This window comes from Homo sapiens, chromosome 4 (assembly GCF_000001405.40).
Source record: "Homo sapiens chromosome 4, GRCh38.p14 Primary Assembly".
NCBI classification, from domain to species: Eukaryota; Metazoa; Chordata; class Mammalia; order Primates; family Hominidae; genus Homo; species Homo sapiens.
The window spans coordinates 72,106,622-72,120,051 of record NC_000004.12 but is presented as its reverse complement, the minus strand read 5'-3'; the positions used below and the strand labels follow the sequence as shown (position 1 = coordinate 72,120,051).

Sequence of the window (13,430 nt, the reverse complement as noted above, 5' to 3'; positions counted from 1 at the left end):
TGCTGACAGTGAGAAATTCAAGCCAGTGGATCTTAGCTTGCTGGGCTCCGTGGGGGTGGGACCACTGAGCCAGACCACTTGGCTCCCTGATTTCAGCCCTCTCTCCAGGGGATTGAAGGGTTCTGTCTCACTCGGGCTCCTGGTGCCACTGGGGTATGAAAAAAAGAAAAACTGCAGCTAGCTGGGTGTCTGCCCAAATGATCCCCAGTTTTATGCTTGAAACCCAGGGCCCTAGTGGCATAGGCACCTGAGGGAATCTCCTGGTCTGCAGGTTGCAAAGACCATGGGAAAAGTGTAGTATTTGGGCCAGAATGCACCATTCCTTAAGGCACAATCTCTCAGGGCTTCCCTTGGCTAGGAGAGGGATTTCCCAAACCCCTTGCACTTCCCTGGTGGGGTGATGCCCCACCCTGCTTCAGCTCACCCTCCGTGGGCTGCACCCACTGTCTAACCAGTCCCAATGAGATGAACTGGGTACCTCAGTTGGAAATCCAGAAATCACCTGCCTTCTGTGTTGATCTCGCTGGGAGCTGCAGACCAGAGCTGTTTCTATTAGGCCATCTTGCCAGCTACATTTAGATTTTTCAATGCTTATTTCAATATTTCAATAAGGCAGCTTCTCTATGTATTAAATTGTTATATTGCATTTAATAGTATTATAAATAATTACAGTGTATATATAACTACAAAGCTTCTCAAGAAGTTTCCGAATTATTGTATCTGCTGTGTTAGTACATATATGAGACCAACTCCTCATCCCTTTGACAGGAATAACAATCTATGTACAACATATTTAGATCCCACTATTTTTTGCCCATATCCTTGCAGACTTGCTCCATTATCTATTGGAAATTTTGGTACAAAAAAATTTGAATCCAACCCAATATATTTGTTTTCTTACAGGTGCTATGCATTTTTATATATTGTATAGAAGAGATTTTTTAATCCTCAAATTTTTTTAGCTATACCAGCATATATTTTTTCTACCGATTATTTTTTTTCTGAAGGAAAACAAATCCTGTTCAATTCTCATCTCAGTACTTCCTTCATGTCAGAAGTCATTAACTGTTCCACTATTATATTCTCTATCATGGATACCTATTTTCCATATGCTTATATGCTATATCCTATCTTTCAAAAATTATTGGTTTATAAAAATATTTATTTTTCTGTTGAAGATTTTTGCTGCCTTTACCAACCCCATTTCCATTTTGTTATGCCATTTTATACTGTATTATAAAGTATATTCTGTGAAAGTAGAGACCAGTTCACAGTTGAATTCTCAGTACCTAAAAGCATGGTTGAACCAATAATTGGTGCTCAATAAGTATTTGTTAAATGTATTAATTAATCTCATCATATAATTTTTGTTTCATAGATTGTAGGTTTTTTTCTTTTGTAATTTCTTGGTTGTTAAGCATTTGCTGTCTCAAATTTTCTTCTTTTAAAGGTACGTGCATGTCTTCTTGTAATAACATAGAGTTTAAAAACAGGCTCTGGAGTCTAATTGCCTGCACTCAAATCCCACATCTTGTTTTCTATTGATATTTACTGGAAGATAGATTCATGATTAATACCTGCGTGACTTTGAGTAAATTATTTAATCCCTTTGTGATTCAGACTCCTTATCAAAAAAGTAAAAATAATAATTATACAAACTTCATAGTGTTGTTGTTAGGTTTTCATTGGATAATTGTAGTTAAAATTTATTGTATGCTTACCATATGTCAGACTCAGTGCTAAGCATTTTTATATGCATTGGTTTATTATAGTCTTATGGTAGGACAGTCAAATAGGAAACTGAAGCAATGACCAAATTAACTAATCCGCTAAATGTCACACCATCAGTAAAAAGCAGAAGTGGGATTTTATTCCGTGCAGCTCTTCTCCAGAGCACATATTTTCAACCTTACAATATAATTTATATAAAGCACATAAGAGGGTACATAATTCAGAATAAGCACTCTGTGAACATTTGATATTATTTTCCTTTCCTTCCTCCATATGTTTTTCACTTTCGCCCTTCCCCCTTCCTTCCTTTTTTCCTTTCTTCCTCCCTTTTGGCTTTAAAACCATTTTTAATATATCTCAGGTTACTTTTTTGTTACCTTACTCATATTGTGTTTAGGGCTAGTGCTACCAGAACACAAGCAAAGTATGTGTGGTGTACTTTTTATTTGTTCCTTTTTTATTCATTAATGTTAACATCATTCCTTCAGAAAGTTATCTCAAGGACTGGGTACCGAAATTGTTTACATTTTCTTTCATTATTGGATTCCTGAAGCAGGTGGTAAAGGGCCAGAATCACATGGACATTCCATCAGGGAAACAGTTCACTGTACTCTTTCTTGGAAGTGAGGGAACATCTTCTGTTCATTCATTCATTGACTGATTTAACAAATATTGACTGTGTTGACAACATGCTAGGTACTGTTCTAAGAACTGGGGAACAATGAAGTAGACCATGTCGCAGCTTTCGTGGTAATGAGGAATACAAATACTGGTGTTCTGGAGTGAGCTTACAGTGAGAGCCAATTGTGCACATCTCTGCCCAAAGGCACATTCAGTAATGTTATGGTTGCTGCTTGAAGTTGACTGTGATTGATATATTTACACCATGAGAACTGGCAAACTCTAAAGATGAAACCTCTTTATTTTTAAAAATTGATTATTAAACATGTATTCATATGCCAACAGATTAAACCAAAGCATCAAAAGCAGAAATTAAATGTAAAAATGAGGATAATTAGGAAGGTTAAAAAGAAAAGGAATTAAGTGACTACTGTAAGGGATAATTGGAAGGACAGCCGAGAAAGGAATGAGGCCAGTAGACCCAAGTTCATGCAAGCTGATTTACTGTCAGTCCTGCCGGGCTACAACCTGACAAAAGCAGAGGAGGGAGCCTGGCTTACAGGCTATAGCAAGGTTTTATAGGGCATAGAACTGGGTCAGGGTGAAGGAAAAAGAAAAGGGTGGGGGGTCCTTTGTGCCAGGTGTCTGACCACTTCCTGGAGATGTTTTTCTTGCCAGTTCTGTTGTGTAAGGTAGACGTCTTGACCCCATCCTGGAACAGCTGGCCTCTGGTCAGACAGATACAGGCAGGTTTGGGGTAGGGGGTTTTACTTTTGGCCTTTGGGGCTTAGGTCTATAGGAGGGGGAAACTGTCCAGTTGGGTGGACCCTAACAACTACAACTAAACTGAAAAGAAGATACAACACAAACAAAAGAAGTACAGTAAATGAGGCAATGTAGAAGACCAGAGTGACAGTATAATATAAAATTATAAATATGCCTGAACAAAAGATTTAATCAAACGAATGCCCATAAAAGAAATAAGCCCATTAATTAAATGACTGTTATACTTTTACACCTCAAGTGAACTGTTTATAGGTTTCCCTCTTAATTTTATAGTGTCAGTGAAGTATTTTTCTTCTTGCTTTTTATTTCAAAAGTACTATTTTTTTCTTTTTTAACTTCAACTTTTATTTTAGGTTCAGGGGTACGTGTGCAGATTTGTTGCATGGGTATATTGTGTGATGGTGAGGTTCGGGGTACGAATGATCCCATCACCCAGGTAGTGAGCATAGTACACAATAGGTAGTTTTTCACCCTTTATCCCCTTCCTTCCCTTCCCATCTAGTAGTCCCCAGTGTCCATTGTCCCCATCTTTATATCCATGTGTAGTCAAATTTAAGTTCACTAGCTTTCTTACTATGATAAAATTATGAAAGAAAGCAGATTATAGTTAAATAATCACCTTAACAGTGGAATTCTACTTAATAGTATAGTAAATTTCAAATATAATCTAGTGAAATAAACATGTCTACAAATAAAAATATATACACAAGCATATTCACACAGCTTGTTACAGAAAAAAATTTCTTTAGTACAAACATTAAAGTTTGATATTTGCATGCTGCAATCTATGCAATAGTTTCAAAACAATAAACATATGCAGTGGAAAAACATATTGCTAGGGATATCCTACTCTGGCATCCTTTCATTCTTATTTTAATAAATGTATAAATCAATGTGTAAAAATGACTAATTTTTAATTTTAATTCTAATGTGTGTATTAGAATACTACAGTTTCATTGCCCATACAATCCAAGAGATATTAATATTGTCCCAAACTAGAATGATCAATTTTAATGACTTGTTCGAAAGTGAGAACCACTTTAATGCAACAATACCTTTTATGAAGTCTAAATTAAAAGTTCTAAAGAAAATAGTGAAGACTATTAATAAACAATCTATAGATACATTGGAAAACAAAAGAAGAGTGCTCTTAAAGGACCAGAACACAAAAGGCTGTTAAGGTTGAATAAAGAGAAACAAGACTGCAGGAAATTCTAGGTTAAAACTCATCTAAGAAAGAACTTTCATGAAAATGGAGGCTTTAGAGATGGCTCCAAGATCAGAATTACAATATACAGAAATAGGAGACAACCCAGGGGAGTTATTTGAGGTAAACTTGGAAGCTGATTTTGGATCAGCTGAACCCAATAGTACCCACTACACCTCTGCCTATAAGACCAAGGACACACATGCTCAGACTTGGTCTAAGACCTTGTTTAGACGCAGTTATTCCCATGCCCTCCCAGTCACAGCGAACATATTTCTAATAATCAAACCTCACATCCATCCCACTGGCAAAAATTTAAAAGATTAATGATATCTGATGTTGGCTGACAACAGATGCAGGGAAGCAAATATTTTCATACAGTGTTAGGGATACAATGATAAGACTTATTGAAAGTGAATTTGGGAATGCCAGTCAAATCAAAATGTGCATTATGTTCCACTTGACCTTTTCATTTCTACAAATATAATTTATTGAAATAAATACATCCATGAGTAAAAAGCCATGAAAGCATTATATTCATTGTAACTTTGTTATAGGAAAAGTTTAGAAACAACATATTGGCCATGAACAGACAAAAATTTAAGTGAATTATAGCAATATTAATAATCAAATGTGCAATATGATAACATCTTAATAATGGCAAAATATATCCAATGCTTGACCTCTGCCAGGGTCTGTTATAAACTTTATCCCTATTAATTCACTTAATCCTCTGGGAAAATACTATGATTATCACTGTTCCCATTTTTAGGTGAAGAAACTGGGGAAAAAGCAAGTAACTGGCACAAGGTCATCAGCAGGGAAGTAGCAAGGTCAAGATTTAAAGTCAGATAGTCTGACTTCAGAGACTTTATGGTAACCTTTGTGCTATAATAAAATAAAGCCATTACAATCAATAGGAAGAGTCTAATTATTCTGACACATAATGGTCTATAACATGTTGTTCATGTCAAAAGCAAAACTCTAATAGAAAAATATCTATTAGTAGGGGTGACTTCTGGGGTCAGGAGAAGATTGTGTTATAAGGTGATGAAAAAGCTTTTACATTTTACTACTTTTTATTGCTTGAATCTTTTTACAGCACAAATATATTCATGTTGTACTCAAATAATTAATATAAACAAAGAACGACAGGATCTATGCATTATTTACATTTGCCAAATCCTAAGAAAACTTTTGAAAGCCACATGCTTAGAAAGCTTCATATTTTCACATAACAGACAGAAGTTAGACCCCATTCTATAATTTAAGAGATTACTATCTACACATGTGTATATGTGATTATCTAGATATGAATTCTTATAGGGGTACCAATCAACAATTTCAAATAACACATTTTTAATTATAAAATTATATCATGGTGATTACTTGCCCCTGGATGGAAGTAGTCACAGGAAACAAGCATGAGGGGAGGCTTCTGGGCAGCTGGAATAGGGATATTTCTTGATCTGTGTGCTGGTTACAAGCATATATTCAGTTTTTAAAAATTCAATGAATTTTATATTTATGCACACTTTTTTGAACAGGAAGGAGTTAAAGCTGCTGACTGGCTATTCATTTCTGACCCTGGGAGAAAATAAGAGGGCAAGTGACCCAATATAATCTCCTTGTCAACATGATAACTGAAGCTCTGGGCAAATAGTCTATTCATATTTCTAGAAAAGTCCTTATCTATGAAAAGTTCTTAACAGAATGTCCCTGGTAAAGGATTGCCTGTAGAAAACATTAATAAATTAAGACCCTAAGGATTTATAATACTTGGCTCCCTGGAAAATGTCCCTTAAACTGAGGTATAAGGTGGCAATATTTTATAGACTAAATATTCCTCTGCTGTGTGAGTCAACCAAGCAAAACTCCACCAGGAGACCTCATCTTCTATTCGAACCTGAGACTACATCTCAAACATGGAAAGTGCCAGGGAACTGGTCTACTCGCAGACAACCCCCCAGGGCTGTCTGAGCCTCTTGGTTGCCTGTATTCTTGAAATTATTAGTACATTTCAGAACTGGTAAAGCTTTTGAACCATGTTTCTTTGCCAGTCTGAGACTTTGTGTTAGCACAGATTGGCAGTGCAAGCAGAACTATGCTTTAATCTCATAAATCTTAATGGGCTGGGTCATTTTTAGCAATAAAAAGTATATAAAAAATATAGTGAAGATCTAATTACAAGTTGAGTCCTACCCATTGATGATAGGACATTGATGATAGCAAATCTTTGATGCAATGGAATGTGGAGGAAGTACACTTAGATATGAGGGAAATGGCTAAATGGATTGATGAAGGGTGGCTGGAAGAGGGGAAGATAGAACAATTTCTATCCCCTGGCTAGTGCTAGTGGTGCTGATAAAGTAAGACCTATAAGTTCCCTTCAAGCAAAGAACAATAAAATCTATGTATTGCTTATAATTACCCAATCCTAAGAAAAAAAATTTCCAAATTCTACTATTCTTTGCTGTGAGCCTTTTCTTTCCTGTCATGGAAGGCATACTTGTACTTATATGACTACTTGGAATGATGTCCCACTTCTTCACAAAGTAGCATAAACAAGGCCATTGATTACTCAAAAAATACACAAATAACTGGAGGTTAAGATCAGGTGACTACTAAATCCCAAGGATATTCTGTGTAAATTTTCAAATGTTTTACATAAAAATACCAGTAGAAGCCAGGTAAATCATTACTTGCAGGGCTTCTTCACCTGTCTAGGAAATTTCACTAATTTTAGAGCTATGTAAGTTGAAGGCTAATCCCCAGTGTCTGAAAACTTCTGTAAGCAGGTATTTTCATGTGGTATAATAATTAATCTATATAACCGGTAAAAGTAGAAGCATAGCAACCCTCTCCTGAGAGGGGTAAATTCCCTATCCCCTCCCCTGTGAGATAGGTAATTTCCTATCTCACAATGTGACTCATTGTGAGACACATGAGACACATGACTCACAGATGTCACAATATGACTCACAACATGACTCATTGTGAGACATATGAGACATATGACTCACAAGTGTCATATGTCTTTTCATGCTTCAGGCATGGTGTGAATGACCAACACCAACCTGTCTATTTGATGATCAGAAAGACGCAATCAATTTAATGTTTCTGGCACAGATAATGAAACACGTGCTACTTTGGAGAGCTTCTGTCTCCTGTTCTCCTTATGTAATGGGAAACCAAGGGAATATTTAGGAGATGATGATGAACCTGCCAGCTCAGGTAATGCAGAGGGGGCTGCATGATGATAAAAAGATCTATGCACACAAAAGAAAGGACCATGAAGAGAAAAAGGAAATAAGAATCCCCTCAACTTAGTGGAGCTCTTTAGATGGTTTATAAAAAGCAGTGTAAAAAGAGAGAGAAAGAATCTTACTGTTTCTACTAAGAAGTTAGAACAACAGTATCCACATTTGGAAGGTGGGGAGCTGCTCTGATCCTCCCTCCCACTTCTTAAAGTGTCACTGCAAGTTCACTCAAATTATTATAGTCTAGAAAAATCAAATCAACTGATGAGAATCAAGATTCAAAATGGAAAGTACTTAAACAGCAGCCTGAATGTGTTTCCATAGATAAAGTCATTGAGTCTGAAAAAGGTTGGCTGAGAGACTGAGATATTCTTATCCTACCCCAAACAAGCAATCATAGGCCTTTTGCAAATATTTGGTAAAAATCCAGCAAATCCTGGTAAAAAAGCCAGGAACTGGTAGGCAAAGCCTCTAAAATGACTAGATAGAGGTTTTCAATGTTCAGTAGCACTTATGATAAATCAAGGCAGTGCTATGAAAGACCCAAAGCTGAAACTAGCAGGATTTGGAGATGCCATGTTGGGGGGACTAGCATCAGAATAAGTTTAGGAGTGAAGAATATGACTGGGGAGACTTTTCACTGGTTAATGGCCTTTAGCTGAATGCATAATTGGGATAGATATTATGTGCTAATAGAGAATGTTCCCTTTTTCCGTTTTTGTTGGGGAAGTATATTGCCTAATCACCCTTCCTGGAGTTTTAACTGGCCATGCTGAACGGTGACTTTTGGAATTTCCTATGTTGTCCTAGAATAAATTGTAAACAATACAGAATTCCAGGAACGTACAAGAGATTATTGCCCTGATTAAGGGAATACTTGAGGTATGATTATTGGTTCCCATTAGCTTCCCCATTAACAGAGCTGTCTGGCCAGTCCCTGAAGGTTAACTGTAGATTATCAAGCATTCAACAAGTAGTTGTCCTAATTGCTTCAACTGTACCTGATGTGGTAAACACTGTATAGGATGCACAACAAGCCAAGGAGGATGGCTATGTCATTAGAAACTTGCCTAGTGCTTTCTTCTCCATCTCAATTTCCAGGAACAGCCAGGTACAATATGCATTCTCACAGAATAGGACTCAGTATACATTTACTATATTGCCAGAAGTATGTTTGAATTTGCCTGCACAATTGATAATTTCATGAAGTGGGACCTGGACTTAACAAATATGCAAAGCAAGTTAGTAAATTGATTATATTATAAAAGCTTCTCCTCTCATAAGAATTAAAGAGGAGTTAAGGACTGTGGTGACTCACATGACAAATAGAGCCAGGCTGATGAGCTCAGATAATATCCATAGCCCTTGGAATTACATTGACTGGAGCAACTAGAGACATTTTTTGAAACCATAAAAAATTATCGCTTACAGAATCTGCAAATGAGTAAGAGACCTAGAGATAAATAGAGCTTACTTAGGCTTTTGCAGTTTTTTGTTTTTGTTTTCTTCAATCTAAGAATGCTATTGACCTCTGTTCACAAAGTCACCAGAAAGATAACTGAATTTGAGTAGAGGCTCTGAGCAGAAGAAATTGCTAAAGGATTTTTGGAGGGTGGTGATGCAGGAAGGTCTATTAGGATTGTATGATTTGACTGCACAGATAATATTAGATGCACCCGAAACCAGAACATACACAGACTAGAGCTATCTGCAGAAATGAAAGAGTTCAGTGAAGACCTCTTATTTTTTGAGAACAAATGTTAGGCAAAATAGCTATTCCTAATAAACCATTTAAAAGACAATTGATTGCTTCTTACTGAGTGGTGGTCATCAAAACTGTGCCCTAACAGAAGGGCATCAGATAACTCCAAAGCTAGGGAAACCAACTTTGTCTTGGATGATGTCAGAAACATTCATATAGGGATCAAACAGCACAGCCAAAGTTCACTCAGAAATTAGAAATGGGATGTTAAAAAGCATACTTTGGGAAGTGGGCAAGTACACAGAAGGGAATCACTGCATACAGGAGCAGTGTATTAGTCTGTTCTCACACTGCTAATAAAGACATATTTGAGACTGGGTAATTTATAAAGGAAAGAGGTTTAATTGACTGACAGTTCAGAATGGCTGAGAAGGCCTCAGGAAACTTACAATCATCGCAAAAGGGGAAGCAAACATGTCTTTCTTCACATGGTAGCAGCAAGAGAAGTGCTGAGCAAAAAGGGAAAAGCCCCTTATAAAACCATCATATCTCATGAGTACTCTCTATCATGAGAGCAGCAGCATGGGGGTAACCACCCCTATGATTCAAGTATCTCCCACTGGGCACCTCCCATGACTTGTGGGGACTATAGAAACTACAACTCAAGATGAGATTTAGGTGAGGACACAGTCAAACCATATCAAGCAGGTTGCCTCACTGACTATAGAGCCGATCAAATAAAGCCCTCAGCAGACTTTTCCAGGTTAATTGCTGCATGTTCTGTGTCTTGCGAATTGCTCCCCATGAAGCAAAGTAAGTTGTCTGGTTCACTGATGAGAGTTTCTGGATTATGTCACTTGTTTGGAAAACAACGGCAATACACCCTGCAGATGGGGAAAGCTTAATGGAAGAAGACAAGGGCACACCTGCACATTGGACAGAGATGAAAGCAGTTCAAAGACTTTTCACTTATAGCCAATGGCCTTGTTGTTGTTGTCAAGGGAATGGGCATTCATTAAAAAACAACAACAACAACAACAACAAATTTCATGGAATTTAGGGAAGAATTCAAGTGTGTCATGTACATAACTACCAGAAATAACTAGTTGTTGACTCAGAAGAGATTTGGAATAAGGCAGATGCTTTAGTCAGATTTCCAGAATTATTATCTGCTTCTTGAAGTGAGCAGGCACTGGGTTCTCAGGCCATGCACTGGCTAATGAGATAAGAAACTGCACCCCACAGTCAGTCAACAGAGAAAATCATTTAAAAATGTCTGTGGAAATCCTACTATTTCTCACGACATGGATGAATGTGCAAGACATTACCGTTAAGTGAAATAAACCAGCAACAGAAGGACAAATACTACATGATTCCACTCATATGAGGTATGAGAAACTCTTAGAAGCAGAAAATAGAATGGTGGTTACCAAAAGTTAAAAGGAGGGAAAAATGGGAGTTCTTCAATTGGAATAAAGTTTCAGTTATGCAAAATAAATAAGCTCAAGAATAACACTGTTGGACATCTCTCTCAGATCTGGGTGCTGACTAATGGCCAATATTGAAAGAAAATCCTTGGACTTCTTTTCTCTGAAAAAGGAATATTGGGTTCTTAGTAATCTGTAATCTAAAGAAAAGAAGAGACACATTGCCCTGATTGATACTGTAAGTTTTACTAATGTATGGTGTGTCAAACACTACATCAATCTCTCTATCATAGCTACAAGGTGTATTAGAGGGTTTGTAATTTATTAATATAAGTAAGTGAAAACTAGACTTATGCAAATGATGCTTCCCAGGAAAAGGAAACACTTTGAGAGGTTGGATTGAATCCTCCCATTGATTAAAAACATGTTAAAATGGATTGTCCAGAGAAGAAAGTGAATTTGACCTTATAAACATTGCATTGTTCAATTAAGTGTCTCCATCAAATCATATAAAATGTGCAATTGAAGATAAACACTAATTAAATGGAATAAATGTATCAAAAGACTTTTAAATAAATATTTTCACTATGGATATATTTTATTCATAGTCCCTATTAGGTAGTTAAAATCTTGTTGATTTGAACAAGATCTATAAAATATAATATGCATAAAAATAAACTTTCATAACCTTATATCCAGAAATACACATATATAATATTTTAGTCTATTTCCTCCAATTCTTTTGGGGTTTTTTAAGGTATTAGATGCCTTAATTCTTTGTTAAAATATAGTAAAACAAATAATAATAACTAGAGAAATGTGTGGCAAGAAGATATTAACTGAGTTCAGACAGTGAATTGGTAGATGCTGTTAAAGCAACTGGCCAGAAATCTATTTCTCCCCCAATACCAGGAGATTGCACCCAGGGGAAATGAAAAGAAGACTGATGATTGAAATGAATGTTCTTGTGAACATAATAATTGAACCACAAGGTAGACTAATGATATTTACTAGGATAAGCCTTCTTTATTTAATTCTTTAATAGGCTATCCCTAAGTATTGCTTATAAATAAATACAGAACATATGAATTTATGAGGCATGACTCCCTGGAAACTGTCATACAAACTGTATAAAATAGAGATATTTTATAGACTGAACCCTCACTCTGCTGTGGTATATAACACTGCAAAACCCTCCTTGGAGGCCTCATCACTTGCTCTGGGCCAGAAGTGAGCATCTAATGTAGGAAGGAGGGTCCTAAGTCACCACTCTCAATGTCCCAGACCTTCTTTGATTAAGTTCATTGATCGCCTATATTCATGAAATTGTTAGTAAGGCATGGTGGTAATAAGTAAGATCTCTGTTTTTAGAAAAGAAATTCAGATTTGATATATAAAATACAATATGCATAAAAATAACTTTCACAACTTTATATCCAGAAATACACATAAATAATATTTTAGTCTATTTCATACAATTCTTTTGACTGTATTTTTTGACATACAAGTCCAGGAGAGGAAAATAATATTATTTTCAAGGAGGTAACTCATTGTATTGGGAGTGAGAACTGTTTCACTTAGGAAAACATTTTGAGGAGTTCTTTTCATGTAAGAAGGAAACCACTCCCATTCTACCTTACCCTCTAGGGCATACTTATGATGAGTAGAAGAAACAAAATGCAAGCTGAGTACCTTATGAAACATAAACTCTGTACCAGGCACTAAGCTAATTGCTTTATACATGTCAGTCCATTTAATTTTCCCAGTAATCCTGTGAGGTAGCTACTCATAGTATCCCAATTTAAGGGAAAAGGAAAGAAAGATAGGAAGATGCTAAGTAACCTGACCCAGGCCCCATAACTAATACTGGAAAAGTTGGGAAACATATAGGATGATCTCCCAGGATTGTGAAGGTCAGCAACACAGCCGGGAATTGGGCAACTTGAGGGTTGAAAACTAACCAGAATGAAGTTCAGTGAGGTGAATATGGCCAAGGAATTTCTAAAATCTAGTGTGCCTTATATTTAATTTTATGCTAACTTTTATAATACACAAAAAAGTACTCCCCCACCCTGCCTATAACCCCAAGTTGTGAGCAGGAGTCTATTAAATATAACTCCCTTTGTGAGAGATATTTTTTAAATATCAAGGTAGAGGACTTGTATTGTAATGTTTGAATTAGTGCTGGGCAGAGAGAAATAAACAGCTATAAGTGATGAGGCAGGAACAGGAATAAAATCATCTATATCCAGGAAAATCCTGGGCACACTGTGGTGGGGGAGATAGGTAGATATTGGATTCTCTAAAATACAAGAAATGGGGACAACTTTATTTTTATATAGCAGCTGCATTGATCAAGCATGACGTGATATTCAATGTGAAAGCAACTATATTTGTATGCTGCTAACCTTTTAAGTCTAATATTTGAAGCTAAATTTCTCCCTTTCCTTTGGGTGAAATTTGGATGGAATAAATCGTACTAGTTTTCTAATTGATTTCTAATAATAAAAATGGTATAGTAATGAATTTGTTCAGCCTAATAATAAATAAAATGTAAAATTTCCAACAAGGATGCCCCGTTGGCTTCTTTTCTCTTTCCTGACTTACTCTGCAGTATCTTCATCTCCAGCTTGTCATTCTCAGCTCCCATCCTCACCAGGATTGTGGGTGAGCAAGTTTAGAGTGGCAGAAAGAGG

General features: G+C 36.4%; 1 protein-coding gene across 4 annotated transcripts in view, besides 3 other annotated features; it reads right to left on the bottom strand.

Annotated features, from left to right (window-relative positions):
• NPFFR2 (neuropeptide FF receptor 2) overlaps nt 1-13,430 on the bottom strand; it is a 116,306-nt gene that overhangs the window by 28,254 nt on the left and 74,622 nt on the right. The window lies entirely within an intron of this gene.
• Nucleotides 6,651-7,850: an enhancer, noted in NCBI's record as "P300/CBP strongly-dependent group 1 enhancer chr4:72977919-72979118 (GRCh37/hg19 assembly coordinates)". NCBI's record gives its function as "activates an origin of replication core promoter dependent on BRD2, BRD4, P300/CBP, MED14 and CDK7 cofactors, with strong dependence on P300/CBP, by STARR-seq in HCT116 cells {active_cell/tissue: HCT116}" and the evidence as "EXISTENCE:reporter gene assay evidence [ECO:0000049][PMID:35650434]".
• Nucleotides 7,183-7,472: an enhancer, noted in NCBI's record as "active region_21607". NCBI's record gives its function as "activates an Ori minimal core promoter by ATAC-STARR-seq in GM12878 lymphoblastoid cells {active_cell/tissue: GM12878}" and the evidence as "EXISTENCE:reporter gene assay evidence [ECO:0000049][PMID:35858748]".
• Nucleotides 7,206-7,500: an enhancer, noted in NCBI's record as "tiled region #3382; HepG2 Activating DNase matched - State 9:DNaseU, and K562 Activating DNase unmatched - State 9:DNaseU". NCBI's record gives its function as "activates a minimal TATA promoter and a strong SV40 promoter by Sharpr-MPRA in HepG2 and K562 cells {active_cell/tissue: HepG2 | K562}" and the evidence as "EXISTENCE:reporter gene assay evidence [ECO:0000049][PMID:27701403]".